At 37.1% G+C, this 14,177-nt stretch overlaps 1 protein-coding gene across 20 annotated transcripts in view; it reads left to right on the forward strand.

Moving 5' to 3' along the window:
* Window positions 1-14,177, forward strand: part of ANKRD12 (ankyrin repeat domain 12) — a 149,205-nt gene that overhangs the window by 44,265 nt on the left and 90,763 nt on the right. For all 20 annotated transcript variants that reach the window (XM_005258093.5, XM_017025661.3, XM_017025663.3 and 17 more), the window contains one exon: window positions 1,337-1,474. In XM_005258093.5, the coding sequence (XP_005258150.1) occupies window positions 1,388-1,474 (87 nt within the window). In that variant the 5' untranslated portion in view covers window positions 1,337-1,387. The remainder of the gene's footprint in view (window positions 1-1,336; window positions 1,475-14,177) is intronic.

Raw genomic sequence — 14,177 nt, forward strand, 5'->3', positions numbered from 1 at the left:
ATTATTGTTTATACGTTAATGAAATGGTTGAATGGCCCCAAGGTAAGTTCTGCTTCTTGAGTGTAATGTCAAAAAAGTTTCTTAATTTCTTCAAATTTGTTTCCTCCTCTATAAAATGAAAGATTTGAACCATTTTTCTTTGGTAGTTTTTTGTGTTGTAATGTATTCTGATTTAATTATTTCCAGATTAATATGGTTTTGATAATTTACAAATTAGCTCAGTTTATTTAAGGGATTTTTGGTTTCGTTTCTATCAAAACAAAAGAAATTTTAAAGCACCAACGGGACAGCAGATTTTACTAATACTCTGTTCAAGGTGTCTGAGTTTTAATAATTTACATAGATACTAGAATGACAGCTAACTTAGATCTATGATATCCATCTGTAGGAGATTTATAGCATGAAAGAGTTCAAAGTAATCTTGTCGGTCATTCTGCTTCTTGTTGTAGCCCAAGTAATACTCCCCTTGGCCAGCAGCCTCAATCTAGCCCAGTGCTGTGCAGTAGACCTTTCTGTTATTACTTAAATGTGTATCTGTGCTGTATAGTACAGTGGCTAGTTTAATTTCATTTTAATTAATTTTAAATTGCCACATGTAGGTAATAGATTATCTGACAGCAACATAGGTGTAGCCTCATAGGTTCCTCTTTAACATGTAAAACCCCTTGGAATTTTTTCTGGATCGTTCAGGCATAAACTTGTCATAATCATAAGCTCTTAGGAGAATGTTTGACCTATTATGCTTGTAGAATAGGAAAGAGAAGGCTGAACAAATTGGAAATAAAATAATGTATACAGTGGTGATTACAGTACAATAGAAGTATATCAGTGAGTAGTTTGATAAAGTGACTAAATGGCTGAGGATGTTCAGTAAAGAAAATAAACTACTCTAGGGATTTTAAATGGGAAGGATTTAATGTAGGGAATTAGGTGTTGTAAAATTACTGATCAAACCTAACAGGTTCTTGGTTGGGTCTTCAGAAATGACTTCCAAACCAACACAAAACTACAAGGGCATCGATTAGGAGCTCCCATTATGGATTCCTACTGAAAAGAGAAACGTTTTGTCACTGCTTCCACTTTCACTGCTTCTGGATACCCAAAACTGGAGATGTTACTTGTCTCGAGAATACAGGAAGAAATTTATTAAAGTAATTCTCTTTTCTTTTAGAGAACCAGAAGCTAAAATAAGGTGAAAACTTACTTTAGCTTAGGATAGCCTCTTTGAGAAAATAAGGTATCTTATGAAAACAGAGAGAAAACAAATTGGACTAATTGTGGTGCGTAACCTATTGTATATATATTCAAATAACCCTTATATATCTATTCTTTACAGATCCAGGATGAGAAGACTGATAAAAGAAGAAGCTAGCTGAACAGCTGTAAAATGCCCAAATCTGGGTTCACAAAACCAATTCAGAGTGAAAATTCTGACAGTGACAGCAATATGGTAGAGAAACCATATGGAAGAAAGGTATATGATTATACTAAAGATTTGTTGACTTTTTGAACTGGGAAAAAGACTCCCAATTAAGTATTTTTAGTGATTTCTCGTAAGATAAAAACCAATATGGATGCCAGATAAATCCAAACCATTTATGCCCTTTAGAAATAAATTGGATTCCTGGGGAAGTGATTGTTTATCATTCCTTAAGGTGAACACACAACTACTAAGTAAAACACAATTACTAAGATTGTGCAATTAAGAAATATTGAGAGAGGGAAAAATTTTTATTATTAGTCATTGTCAATGACCTGTAATTCTGTCTTTTTATATCTATCCTTTTTCATTCCTACTTAATTTAGACCCTCAGAACCTTCGTTTGGACTCCTGCAATTGTCTCCTAACTGGTCTTGCTATCCCTAGTCTCTCCTTATCTCTGGTTTTATACATTGTCTTTGAATTTTTTTTCTGTTTACTTTTTAAAGTCTTTTTAAAAGCCATTTTCTTACGGAAAGATGTCTGAGGTGTTTCCAGACATTTTTAACTAACGGAGTTGCGCAACCATCATCACAATAAGGTTTTAGAACATTGCCATCATTGTGGAAAGGTCTTTGTTGCCCATTTGTAGTCAGTCTCCACTGCAACCCTAAACCCTCCAGGCAACCCCATATCTGCTTTCAAAATCAGGAAGTGTAAGTTTTCAAACTGTATTCTTTTCAGAATCGTTTTGAGTCCTTCATGATTTCATATAAATTTTAGGATCAGCTTGTCAGTTTCTACAAAAGTACCTGCTAGGATTTTGAGGGAATTTTATTGAATTTTTTCATTGAATGTGTAGATCACTTTGAGTTGTATTGCCATCTTAATATTGTCTTCCAATCCATGAACATGGAATAGCTCTTCATTTACTTAGATCTTCAATTTGTCTCAGTAGTGCTTTGTAGTTTTCAGTGTAAAAGTGTTGCATTCTATTGTTAAATTATTTGTAAGTATCTTATTCTCTCAGTGCTACTATGGATAATTTTATTTTGGGCTCTTTATTGCTAGTACAGAAATATAATTGATTTTTGATGTAGTTATCTTTGTATCCTGTGATCTTACTCAATTATTAGTTCTAACAATTTGTAATTCCTTAGGACTTTCTACATATGGAATCATATTATCTGTGAATAAAGATAATTTTACTTCTTTTCCAGTCCGGATATTTCTTTTTTTGTTTGATTACCTTTACTTCTCGCCCCCCTTTTTTCCCCGATTACACTGGCAAACTCTTCTTGATTACAGTACTTAGTCCACTTACATTTAATGTAATTATTGCTATGACTTATATCTGATGATAATTTATATGTGCAGTTTTGCTCTTTATTGTATATTTCATGTCTTTTTTGTTACCTCTTTTATGTTGCCATTTTTGGTTTTAAATATTTTTCAGTGTACAATTTTAATTTCTCTAATTTTTTTAAACTGTTTTTTGATGTATTATCTTAGATGTTGATCCTGGAGATTGTAATACACATCCTAATTGATCACAGTCTACTTACAGGTTGATATTGACACAATTCCAGTAAAATATAGCAGCTTTGCTTCAATATAGCTCCATTTTCTTCCTTTGTGTTATTTATATAACATCGATTACATCTAGATATGTGATTAACCCAACAAAAGAATGTTATAATTGTTTGATACAAAATGTTATCTTTTAAAGAAATAAGAGAAATCAATGTTTATGTAGTTTCAGATTTCCCTACAAATTTACTGATTTTGGTGTTCTTAATTTCTTCCTATGGATTTAAGTTACTATCTGGTGTAAGAATTTTCCTTAGTACTTACTATAAGGCAAGTCTTCAGCCATGGTTTCTGTCAGTCTTTTTTTGATCTAGGTAGGAATATCTTGATATGGCCATTTTTTTTTCCTTTTTGAGACAGAATTTTGCTCTCTTACCCAGGCTGGAGAGTGCAGTGGTGTGATCTCAGCTCACTGCAGCCTTGACCTCCCAGGCTCAAGCAATCCTTCCACCTCAGCCTCCTGAGTAGCTGAGACCGCAGGTGCACACCACTATGCCCAGAGATAGGGTTTCATCATGTCGCCCAGTCTAGTCTGAAACTCCTGGCCTCAAGTGAGCCACCTGCCTCAGCCTCCCAAAGTGCTGGGATTACAAGTGTGAGCCACCACACCCTGGCCGATGTTGCCATTTTTAATAAGTAGCTTTATTGAGATATAATTCGCATGCCATACATTTAAAGTATACAATTCAGTTGTTTTTATATTTACAGAGTTGTATGGTCACAACCACAATCAATTTTAGAAGTTTCACCCCAATATATACTCTTGAGAGAATGAGAAAGATAAAAATAACATCTTAAATGTTATTATGAAGATACTGACGTTGCAGATCTCCTCAGTTGATCTCACGGACTATAATTTGAGAACTGCTATACCAGTGTAATAAGCTCATTAATGAAACTACTGAGTGATGGGAGGAAAAAAGGAGAGAATGCTACTTAACAGGTTCAGCGATAGCCTAATAGTAGAATTAGGTACTTAATCTGGGTTCTCAAGGATGAATCCGTATTTGACCAGAAGGAAAGTGAAAGTAAAGGGTAGTATAAGCGAAAGAAACAGCAAATGAAAAACAAACTTCAGTTGGGATGTAGCCTATGAAGGATGGAGGATAGGAGGTGAGTCTAGCACTAGACAAGGAGCAGTTCATTATAGCCTTGTGTGCCTTGCAAAGGATCTTGGAACTTATTCTGTAGTCAGTGAGTCAGGAGGGAAGGGTCATAGAAAGAACCAGTCAGAATGCTATTTGATAAAATATAAGTAGGAGGCAGTGTGGGCAGTGGCTTTTGGGATGAAGAGAAGTTGGCAGATCGAAAAGCTGTTGAATGAATTAAACTTGTGTGTGAAGAAAAAATAGTCTGGGTCCATTCTGAGGTTTGTTTCCATTACTAGGTTAATGATTGGGCCATTTCCTGAAAGGAAATTCAAGAGAAAGAACAGGTTGTTTTGAATAAGTTTGCTTTGTACTTGCTGAACTGAGTTGGCCCTGGGAACATTCAAGTAGAAATGTTTAGTAGGCAGTTGCATATGAGTGTAAGAACTCAAAACAAGTCTGGATTGGAAATAAATATATGAGGATATGTAGAAAGTATGGAGAAGAGTGTACAAAGAGTGTATAAAGTGGCACAAGAATGGAGGAGGATAGACCCTGAGGAATTCAAATATTTTAGGAGGAGTAAAGAGACAAGGAAAGAGGAGGACAGAGAGAGAACCAAGGGAGGTTCCACAGAGAATGGCTAAAGGGAAGAGAGAGTCTGCACTGCCAAATGCAACAGAGGTTAAGAGGAAAGATGAGGCCATTGAAACATTTTAAATGACCTTGATGAAAGTAGTTTGCGTGGAGATGTGGGGACAGAATGCAATGTTAGATTTGAAGAAAGCATTATAACTTTTATTTCTGCATGTTTAAGTATAGTGAAGATTATATTTGTGGAAATTCATCTGGGCTGCTTGATGCCACTTTTTGGATTTGAATTTATGAGGCTAAACTGAATGAAGCTTTAATTGTTCCTATGTACTTTTCATGTATCTTTTGAAAGTTGTCACGAAATAAGTAGTGCCTGAATATTGCCCTCCTAAAAGTGTGATTTTTTTTTTTTTTTTTTTTTGAGACGGAGTCTCGCTCTGTCGCCCAGGCTGGAGTGCAGTGGCGCGAAAAAGTGTGATTTCTTAAAAGTGTAGCAACAATAGCAAAAACCAAATACTTCACTAACATATTTCTGTTTAAAACATTCCCTAGGTAAGTTAAGAATACTTGTTAATCATTGGATTTATAAAATAAATGGCAAGAATGAATACAAACTATTACATTCCTCTAGTTAACAAATTTTTGGCTTACATAAAGGGATGTATTTATTCTCAGTCTCTGTTTAACTGTATGTTTTTCAAGATCAGTAGTTTGGGTAAGGATCAGAAGCTCATCTAAGGCAACATGCGCTGTACTTAAATTGCCATGCTTTGGGATTTCAGAGCAGTTTGATGTCAAAAGCTGTTGTTAGAAGTATTTTCCTCAGTCTTTCAGTGAATATTTAACCCCTTATTTTACCTTGAGAGGAAGGGCTGTAGTTTTTATTCCAAAGATGCTAGGTATAGACCATGTTGCTGCTCCTTTTTAAGACAAAGTGAAGAAGTTGGGGTAGGGGGTAGAAGGCATGACCATCATTCATGTGTATATTTGCAATGTGTATTTCTTTGATTGTCTTTTTTTTTTTTTTTTTTTTGACGGAGTCTCGCTCTTTTTCCCCGGGCCGGAGTGGAGTGGCGCGATCTCAGCTCACTGCAAGCTCCACCTCCTGGGTTCACGCCATTCTCCTGCCTCAGCCTCCCGAGTAGCTGGGACTACAGGTGCCCGCCACCGCACCTGGCTAATTTTTTGTATTTTTAGTAGAGACGGGGTTTCACCGTGTTAGCCAGGATGGTCTCGAATGGTCTCAATCTCCTGACCTCGTGATCCGCCCACCTCAGCCTCCCAAAGTGCTGGGATTACAGGCGTGAGCCACTGCGCCTGGCCGATTGTCTTTTCATAGTGAGTGGCATTGAAGTCAACTTCTGGGTTCTGCTAAGTTGTTTTTCCCCATAACATTTTTAGAAATGAGGCTGGGCATGGTGGCTCATGCCTATAATGTGTGCTTTGGGGAGACCAAGGCAGGAGAATTGCTTGAGGCCAGGAGTTCAAGACCAGCCTGGGCAAGACCCCCGTCTCTACCAAAAAAAAAAAATTAGCTGGATGTGTTGATACACAGCTGTATTCCTAGCTACTGGGGAGGCTGAAGTAGAAGGATTGCTTTAAGCTACAGTGAGCTATGCTTGTGCCACTGCGTTCCAGCCTGGCAAGAGAGCAGGACCCTGCTGTCTCTATTCATTTTTAATTTTTTTTTAACAGTTCTCTTACGTAAGTAGAGACCCCATTTACAGTTTAATATGACAGAATATTGCTGTTATGAGGTCCTAAATTAATAAAATAACCTAAACCAAAATTTCACTCCTTAAATTCATTTAAGTAGAGCATAACTTAAGTAATTGTATTTTATAGCAATTTAATTTTTATGTAAAGTCCTCTCATTAAATATTAAAATAGTTAGGATTTTGACAAGAATGTTCACACCTTTCACTGCTCATCTGTGGTCTTTTCCCCCCATTGATTCTAGTTTAGTTTAGAAATGTCTCCACTACTCTTTTAGCTATAAATCAGTATTTAAAATTTGCAAAGCAGAATCTTTTATAAACTCTGTTAAGATAGTCTAAAACCTGGTTAAATTCATAAAATGTGAGAGAGGGGATATTAATTATTTTAACCATCTGAATAGTTCTGTTATATCCTTTTCGTCATCAGTGTAGTTCAGACATTCATTATTTCCTCTCCAAGTGACTATTGAGAATTTTTTCTTTTATTATCCAAGTATTATAATACATGTTTGTTGTAAAAAATTAGAAAATACATATAAGAATAATGAAAATAGAAATTACCTATTACCTTGTCAACAACTGTGAAGGTTCTGAGATTTTACCCTACTTGTAAGCTAATTAGCTTCATGGATGCTGGCAGAAGACACAATTCCTAGGTCAGTGATGAAGGAATATTTGCTATTCAGCAATAGCAGTAGCCAGAGTATCATTGTTTGTGCCTGTTCCCTGAGCCTCGCTTCTCACAAGGGGGATGCAGTGATGGGCAGATGACAACTGCATATGCAGTGGGTTGTATTACAGGGTAGGAACCCCAAATCTTTTATGATGGGCAGTAAGTCTGCCTGAACTTTTCCCTAGAAGGAGACATTATTACACTGGACAGCAAACAGGTATGTCCTTAGCTTTAGAGGGAGACACTACCTCTGTCTTTCGAGGCTGTTTATCATACAAATACCCATGAAAAGATAGTCCAGGACAAAGGAAATTAGTGTGTCTGCTCGCAACATGTGCAAAAATGCAAGAGAGACATGGAGAATTATGTCCCAACACAGCTGTAATGGCACCACCTACAGATAGCTATTAACATTTTGGTTTACAGGCATACCTCATTTTATTGCACTTCACTTTATTGTGCTTTGCAGATAATTGTGCTTTTTACAAATTGAAGGTTAGTGGCAACCCTGTGTTGAGCAAGTTCATTGGCAACATTTTTCCAACAGCATGTACTCACTTGTCTCTATGTCACATCTTGATAATTTTCATATTTCCAACTTTTTCATTATCATGATGATGATTAGTGATCTTTGTTACTGTTGTAGTTGTTTTGTGGGCACCACACTGTATGCAGAAAAGATGGCAAGCTTAATGTTGTATGTGTTCTACTGCTCCACTTACTGGCTTCTCTCCCAACTCCGCCCCTCCTTGGGCCTTCCTATTTCCTAAAACAACAATTTTGAAATTGTTGTGTTTCAGTGGTCTCTAAGTATTCAAGTGAAGAGTGGAATGTCTCTCATTTTAAGTCAAAAGCTCTAAATGATTAAGCTTAGTGAGGAAGGTATGTCAAAGGCTGAGAGAGGTCAAAAGCTAGGCCTCTTGTGCCAGTTAACCAAGAGAGGAATGCCAAGGAAAAGTTCTTGAAGAACACTAAAAGTGCTGTTAAAGTGAACACACCATAAGAAAGCAAAACAGTCTTATTGCTGATATGGAGGAAGTTTGGAGTGGTCTGGATAGAAGATCAAACCAGCTACAACATCCCCTTAAACCAAAGTTCAATCCAGATCAAGGCCCTCTCCTCAATTCTGTGAAGGCTGAGAGAGGTTTGGAAGCTGCAGAAGAAAAGTCTGAAGCTAGCATAAGTTGGTTCATGAGGTTTAAGGAAAGAAGCTGTCTCCATAACATAAAAGTGCAAGGTGAAGCACCAAGTGCTAATGTGGAAGCTACAGCAAGTTATCCAGAAGATCTAGCTATGATCTTTGATGAAGATGGCTACACTAAACTACAGATTTCAGTATAGATGAAATAGCCTTCTATTGGAAAAAGATACCATGTAGGACTTTGAAAGCTAGAGAGGAGAAGTCAATCCCTGGCTTCAAAGCTTCAGAGGACAGGCTCACTGTCTTGTTAGGGACAAATGCAGCTGACAACTATTAAGTTAAAGCCAGTGCTCTTTTTCCATTGCAAAAACGCCAAGACCCATAAGAATTACGTGAAATTTACTCTGCCTGTACCTTATCAATGGAAAAACAGTGCCTAATGACAGCACATCTGTTCACAGCATGGTTTCCTGAATAGATTAAGCCTACTGTTGAGACTTACTAAGAAAAAAGGATTATTTTCAAAATATTACTGCTCATTGACAACATGTCAGTGAGCTGTCACCCAAGAGCTCTGACAGAGACATACAAAGAGAATAATGTTGTTTTCATGGCTGCTGACATGCAGTCCATTCTGCAGCCCATAGGTCAAGGAATAATTTTAACTTTTTAAACAAGTCTTATTAAAGAAGTATGCTTTGTAAGGCTGTAGCTGCCATAGAGAGTGATTCCTCTGATGGATTTGGGCAAAAAAATTGAAAACCATCTTGAAAGGATTCACCATTTTAGATGCCATTAAAAACATTTGTGATTCATGAGAGGAAGTCAAAATACCAATATTAACCAGAGTTTGGAAAAGTTGATTCTAACACTCATGGATGACTGAGAGGGTCAAGACTTTAGTGGAGGAACTAACTGTAGATGGGATTGGAAAACGCAAGAGAATGAGAATCAAGTGGAGCCTGAAGATGTGACTGAATTGCTGAAATCTCATGATCAAACTTGAAACCTACTTTTAAAACAACCTTATAAGCAAAACACTTGGTTTGAAGCTCCATTTCATTGGCAGAAGAGAAAAATAGCTCATCTTTCTTATGGATGAGCAAATAAAGTATTTCTTGAGATGGAATCTACTCTTGGTGAAGATGCTAGAAACATTGTTGAAATGACAGCAAATAATTTAGTATATTACATAAACTTCGTTGATAAAACAGCAGCAGAGTTAAATAAGATTGACTCCAATTTGAAAAGAAGTTCTGTGGGTAAGTGCTATCAACAGCATTGCATGCTCCAGAGAGATCTCTTGTGAGAGAAAGTCAATTCACATGGCAAACTTCATTGTTGTCTTAAGAAATTGTAATAGCCACCCCAACCATCAAAAATTGTCCTGATCAGCAAACAGCCATCAACCTAAGGCAAGACCCTCCACCAGCAAAGAGATTACAACTCACCGATGGCCCATGCAATCTTTAGCATATTTTAGTATATTTAGTACTTTAAAATTAAAGTAGGTATATATGTATTTTAGACATGATAGTATTGCACACTTACTAGACTACATCATAGTGTAAACATGATTTTTGTACTGGGAAACCAAAAAATTTGTGTGACTTGTTTTGTCATTATAATTGCTTTATCGTGGTGGTCTGGAACTGAATCTGCCATATCTCCAAGGTATGCCTTGATATTGTTCCCGAGTTTTCTGTTTATATATTTGCACGTGTGTATATATATTCTTGTTTTCTGGATACTTCTTTTACCATTTTTTCTATCTTACTGAGATGACAAAGGCTATCAATACATTGTTTAATAGCAGAATTAATAGAAGATCATTCTTACCATTGATGCTTTCATTATTACGTGTGATGGCTGTTGCCAGTTATTGGGAAAATAATGTTAAATGAAAAAGACTCTAGAAATATTTTAAGATAATAAACCTAACAGAGTTATGGGCCTAGGATGTGCTAATGAGCCTCTCGTGAATTTGATAGAGTATTTCTACTCTTTGGTAATACAGAAATTTCAAGTCTATCAAAAACATTTCTTTTGAAAGAAAAGAAACCCTTTGTTCAAATACGCCTTGAAGGACAGTTTTATAGATGACATAACAAGTAGTTAGCAGTTATGATAGTTACACATCACCGTATTGCACAGGAGAACATATTCCATATACTCTTTTGCTGTTTTCTTTCAACTTAATATCACATAGGTTTTTTTTTTAACTCATTTTGTGGCACAGACCTGTATCTTATGTAGCTGCAAGGGAGAAGGGATTTTTAAATGATTCTTAAATCTTTTATTCGTAACAATGATTCATTTTCTGAGGCAAGTTACTGGAGTTTTGTTGGTTAACCTGTGTATTAGCTGTGCCTTTTTGTTTTCTGTATTTCTGTTGCTTTGACTTCTGAGGCCTTGCTGAGCATTGAGAGACTGTATCTTCCAGGGCTAGCCAGTTCCTAGAGATAATAAACTCACTGTGAGCAAATCTTTCACTCTCAGACCGACCTATCTAGACCCCACATCCAAACCCCCAACTTTGTTGGGCTCTCACACTCTGGGCCACTGGCCATCTGTCCTAATCACCCCAGAACCAGGCACCAATTAGAGAAACAGCTCCCATACCCCAGAACCCACTGAAATTATTCAAGGTAGCCAATCCCAAGCCTGCTTACCCTGCTTCACACTTTTTTTCCTGTAGAAACTACAGTAAAGGCTCTTGCTCACATTTCACCTTTCTTCTTTTACCTCTTGACCAACCACCCTGGTACTTCCCTGTGTGGTCTGGAGTGGCATGATGTGGCATGGCATGCTCCCCACCCCTTGGAACTGTGAGTAACAATCTTTTCCATAGCAGTAATATCCTGATTTGTTGGTCTCACCATATAATAAAACCTACATTTTAAGTAACCTTATAAGCAAAACACCTTGTTTTTGAAGCTCCATTGGCAGAAGTGAAAAAATAGCTCGAGGATGTTAGTTGAAAGCTTGGAAATTGATCAAGAATGAATGTAGATGTTATTCTTGTCACTTTGTTCTTGCCATCATAGGGTTTTCTTTAATCTTTTGATACAATGAATTAAGAGGTTTTCTATCAGTGAACTGTCCTTGCATTCTCTAGATGAGCCCTGCTTGATTATAATATATTCTAAGAATTGAATTTGGCTTGATAGTCTGTTTAGGACTTTTGCATTTAAGTTCATAAGTGGATTTTTGTCTATAATTTTGTATCTTGTGCTGTTTTTTGGTATCAATTTCATTTTAGACTTCTAAAATGAATTGGGTAACTTCTAATCTTTCTGTGCTCTGGTATTTATAAGACATGGGAAATACCTGCTTCTTGAATTTTTGTTTTTTTGGTTAAAACTCTATTGTAAAATCTTGTGGAGTAGGTGCCTTTTTAAACATACATTTCACTATGGATTTATCTTTTTTTTTCCTCCTTTTTTTTTAGAGACAGGGTCTTGCTCTGCTCTGTCACCCAGCCTGGAATGCAGTGGCATGATTATAGGTCACTGCAGCCTTCTGCCTCAGCCTCCCGAGTAGCTGGGACTACAGGTGTGTGCCATTGCGCCCAGCTAGTTTTTAAAAATTTTTTATGGCGATGAGGTCTCACCACGTTGCCCAGGATGGTTTCAAACTCCTGTCCTCAAGTGATCCATCCGCCTCAGCCTCCCAGAGCATTGGGATTACAGATTTTAGCCACTGCACCCAGCCTGATTTACTGTTTTCTGTGGTAATTGGTCTGTTCTGGTTTTCCCTTCCTGTCATCCTGTCATGAGCTAGTTTTTAGTAATCCATATATTCCAAGGAAATTACCCATTTTTACAGGCTGTAAGTTTTTTAATAGTATAAAATTGAGTACAGCATTTTTTTTTTTTTTTTTTTGGATACAGGATCTCACTCTGTTGTCCAGCCTGGAGCACAGTGGCGAAGAACATGGCTCACTATAGCCTCAATCCTCCCAGCTCAAGCAGTCCTCCTGCCTCAGCCTCCCAAGTAGCTAGGAACACAGGCGCATGCCACCATGCCTGGCTAATTTTTAAATTTTTTTACAGAAACAAGGTCAGGGTCCCCCTGTGTGGCCCAGGCTGGTCTCAAACTCCTAGGCTTAAGTGATCCACCCACCTCTGCCTCCCAAAGTGCTAGGATTACAGGCATGAGCCACCATGCCCAGCCAACAGCATTCTTTCATAACTTTTTAATATTCCCTCTCTAGTTGTATTCAGGCTCAATCTCAGTGGTTTTTTTTTGTTTGTTTGGTTGTTTTTATCTTTTCTCTGTTTTTCATTATTAAGTTCACCAAAGGTTTGTTAATTTATTTGCTCTTTTAGAGTCATCTTTTGGTTTTATTGCTACTTTAAAAAAAATGACATTAATTTGTTATGCCCCTTTTTCCTCCTCATCCCTCCTTTATTTTTCATCTTGGGTTGAAAACTGGTATCTTTTATAGTCTGAATCTACTTTTCATTTGCTTTTGAGAGTTTCTACAATCATGATAAATTATCACTTATTATCATAGCTTGGGGAATGTTCTTTTAAGATCTCCTGCTAAGGCAGTGTGGCTTAGTTCTCAGTATGAAGCACATTTCTCACAAAGGAGTTGTCATACCCCAGTTTTAGATGTGCTGTATCAATTTGGATGTTTTGATTATAGGAGTGAACTTTATAATACCTATAGGTCACTTCACCTGATTGGGCGAGTACTTAGTATTTTTGTTTGGTATGTCATTCTTTTTCTAAAATGAATTATAAATCCATTTCTGGTTTTCTGATTTAAGAAATAGGGTTGTAATCTACTGGCCTGGATAGATTATTCTTTGGTTCCTGTGATCCTTACATATTTTCTTCTTTATTGGTAAATAATAGTGGTTCTCAAACTTTACTATGCATCAAAATTATGTGGCAGGACTATTAAAACAGATCATTAAGCCCTAGCCCCAGAGATTCTGATTCAGTAGGTCTGAGATGATGCCTGAGATTTTGCATTTCTAGTAAGTTTCTAGGTGATGCTGATACTGCTAGTCAGGAAGCCATTTGAGAACTACTGATATAGATAATTTTATTTATTTATTTATTTATTTATTTATTTATTTATTTATTTATTGAGACAGAGTTTTGCTCTTGTTGCCCAGGCTGGAGTGCAACGGTATGATCTCAGCTCACTGAAGCCCCTGCCTCCCAGATTCAAGTGATTCTCCTGCCTCAGCCTCCTGAGTAGTTAGGATTATAGGCACCTGCCACCACACCTGGCTAATTTTTTGTATTTTTGTAGAGACAGGATTTCACCATATTGGCCAGGCTGGTCTCAAACTCCTGACCTCAGGTGATACCCATGCTGTGGCCTCCCACAGTGCCGGGATTAACAGGCATGAGCCACCACACCCAGCCAATTTTATTTTTTAAATAAAATACCATCAGTTTGATTCAATTCAGAATTGCTTTTTAAAATTTACATATTCATTGGCGCTACATCTAGATATAATGGTTCTATTCAAAATATTTTGTTTTACTGTTGTTTTAAAATTGTTATTAGAAGTACCATTCAACCCAGCAATCCCATTTTTGTTTACCCAAAAGAATATAAATTGTCCTATTAAAAAGACACATACATGCCTATGTTCATTGCAGCACTACTCACAGTAGCAAATACATGGAATTAACCTAAATGCGCATCAACAGTAGACTGGATAAAGAAAATGTGGTATATACACACCATGGAACACTATGCAGCCATTAAAAAGAATGAGATCATGTTTTTTGCACAGCAACATGGATGGAGCTGGAGGCCATAATCCTAAGTGAACTAATGCAGGAATAGAAAACCACCAAATACCACATGATCTCATAAGTGGGAGCTAAACATTGAGTACACATGGACATGAAGGGAACAGCAGACACTGGGGCTTACTTGAGGGTGGAGGGTGGGAGGAGGGAGAGGATCAAAAAACTGCCT

This window comes from Homo sapiens, chromosome 18 (genome assembly GCF_000001405.40).
Source record: "Homo sapiens chromosome 18, GRCh38.p14 Primary Assembly".
NCBI lineage: Eukaryota > Metazoa > Chordata > Mammalia > Primates > Hominidae > Homo > Homo sapiens.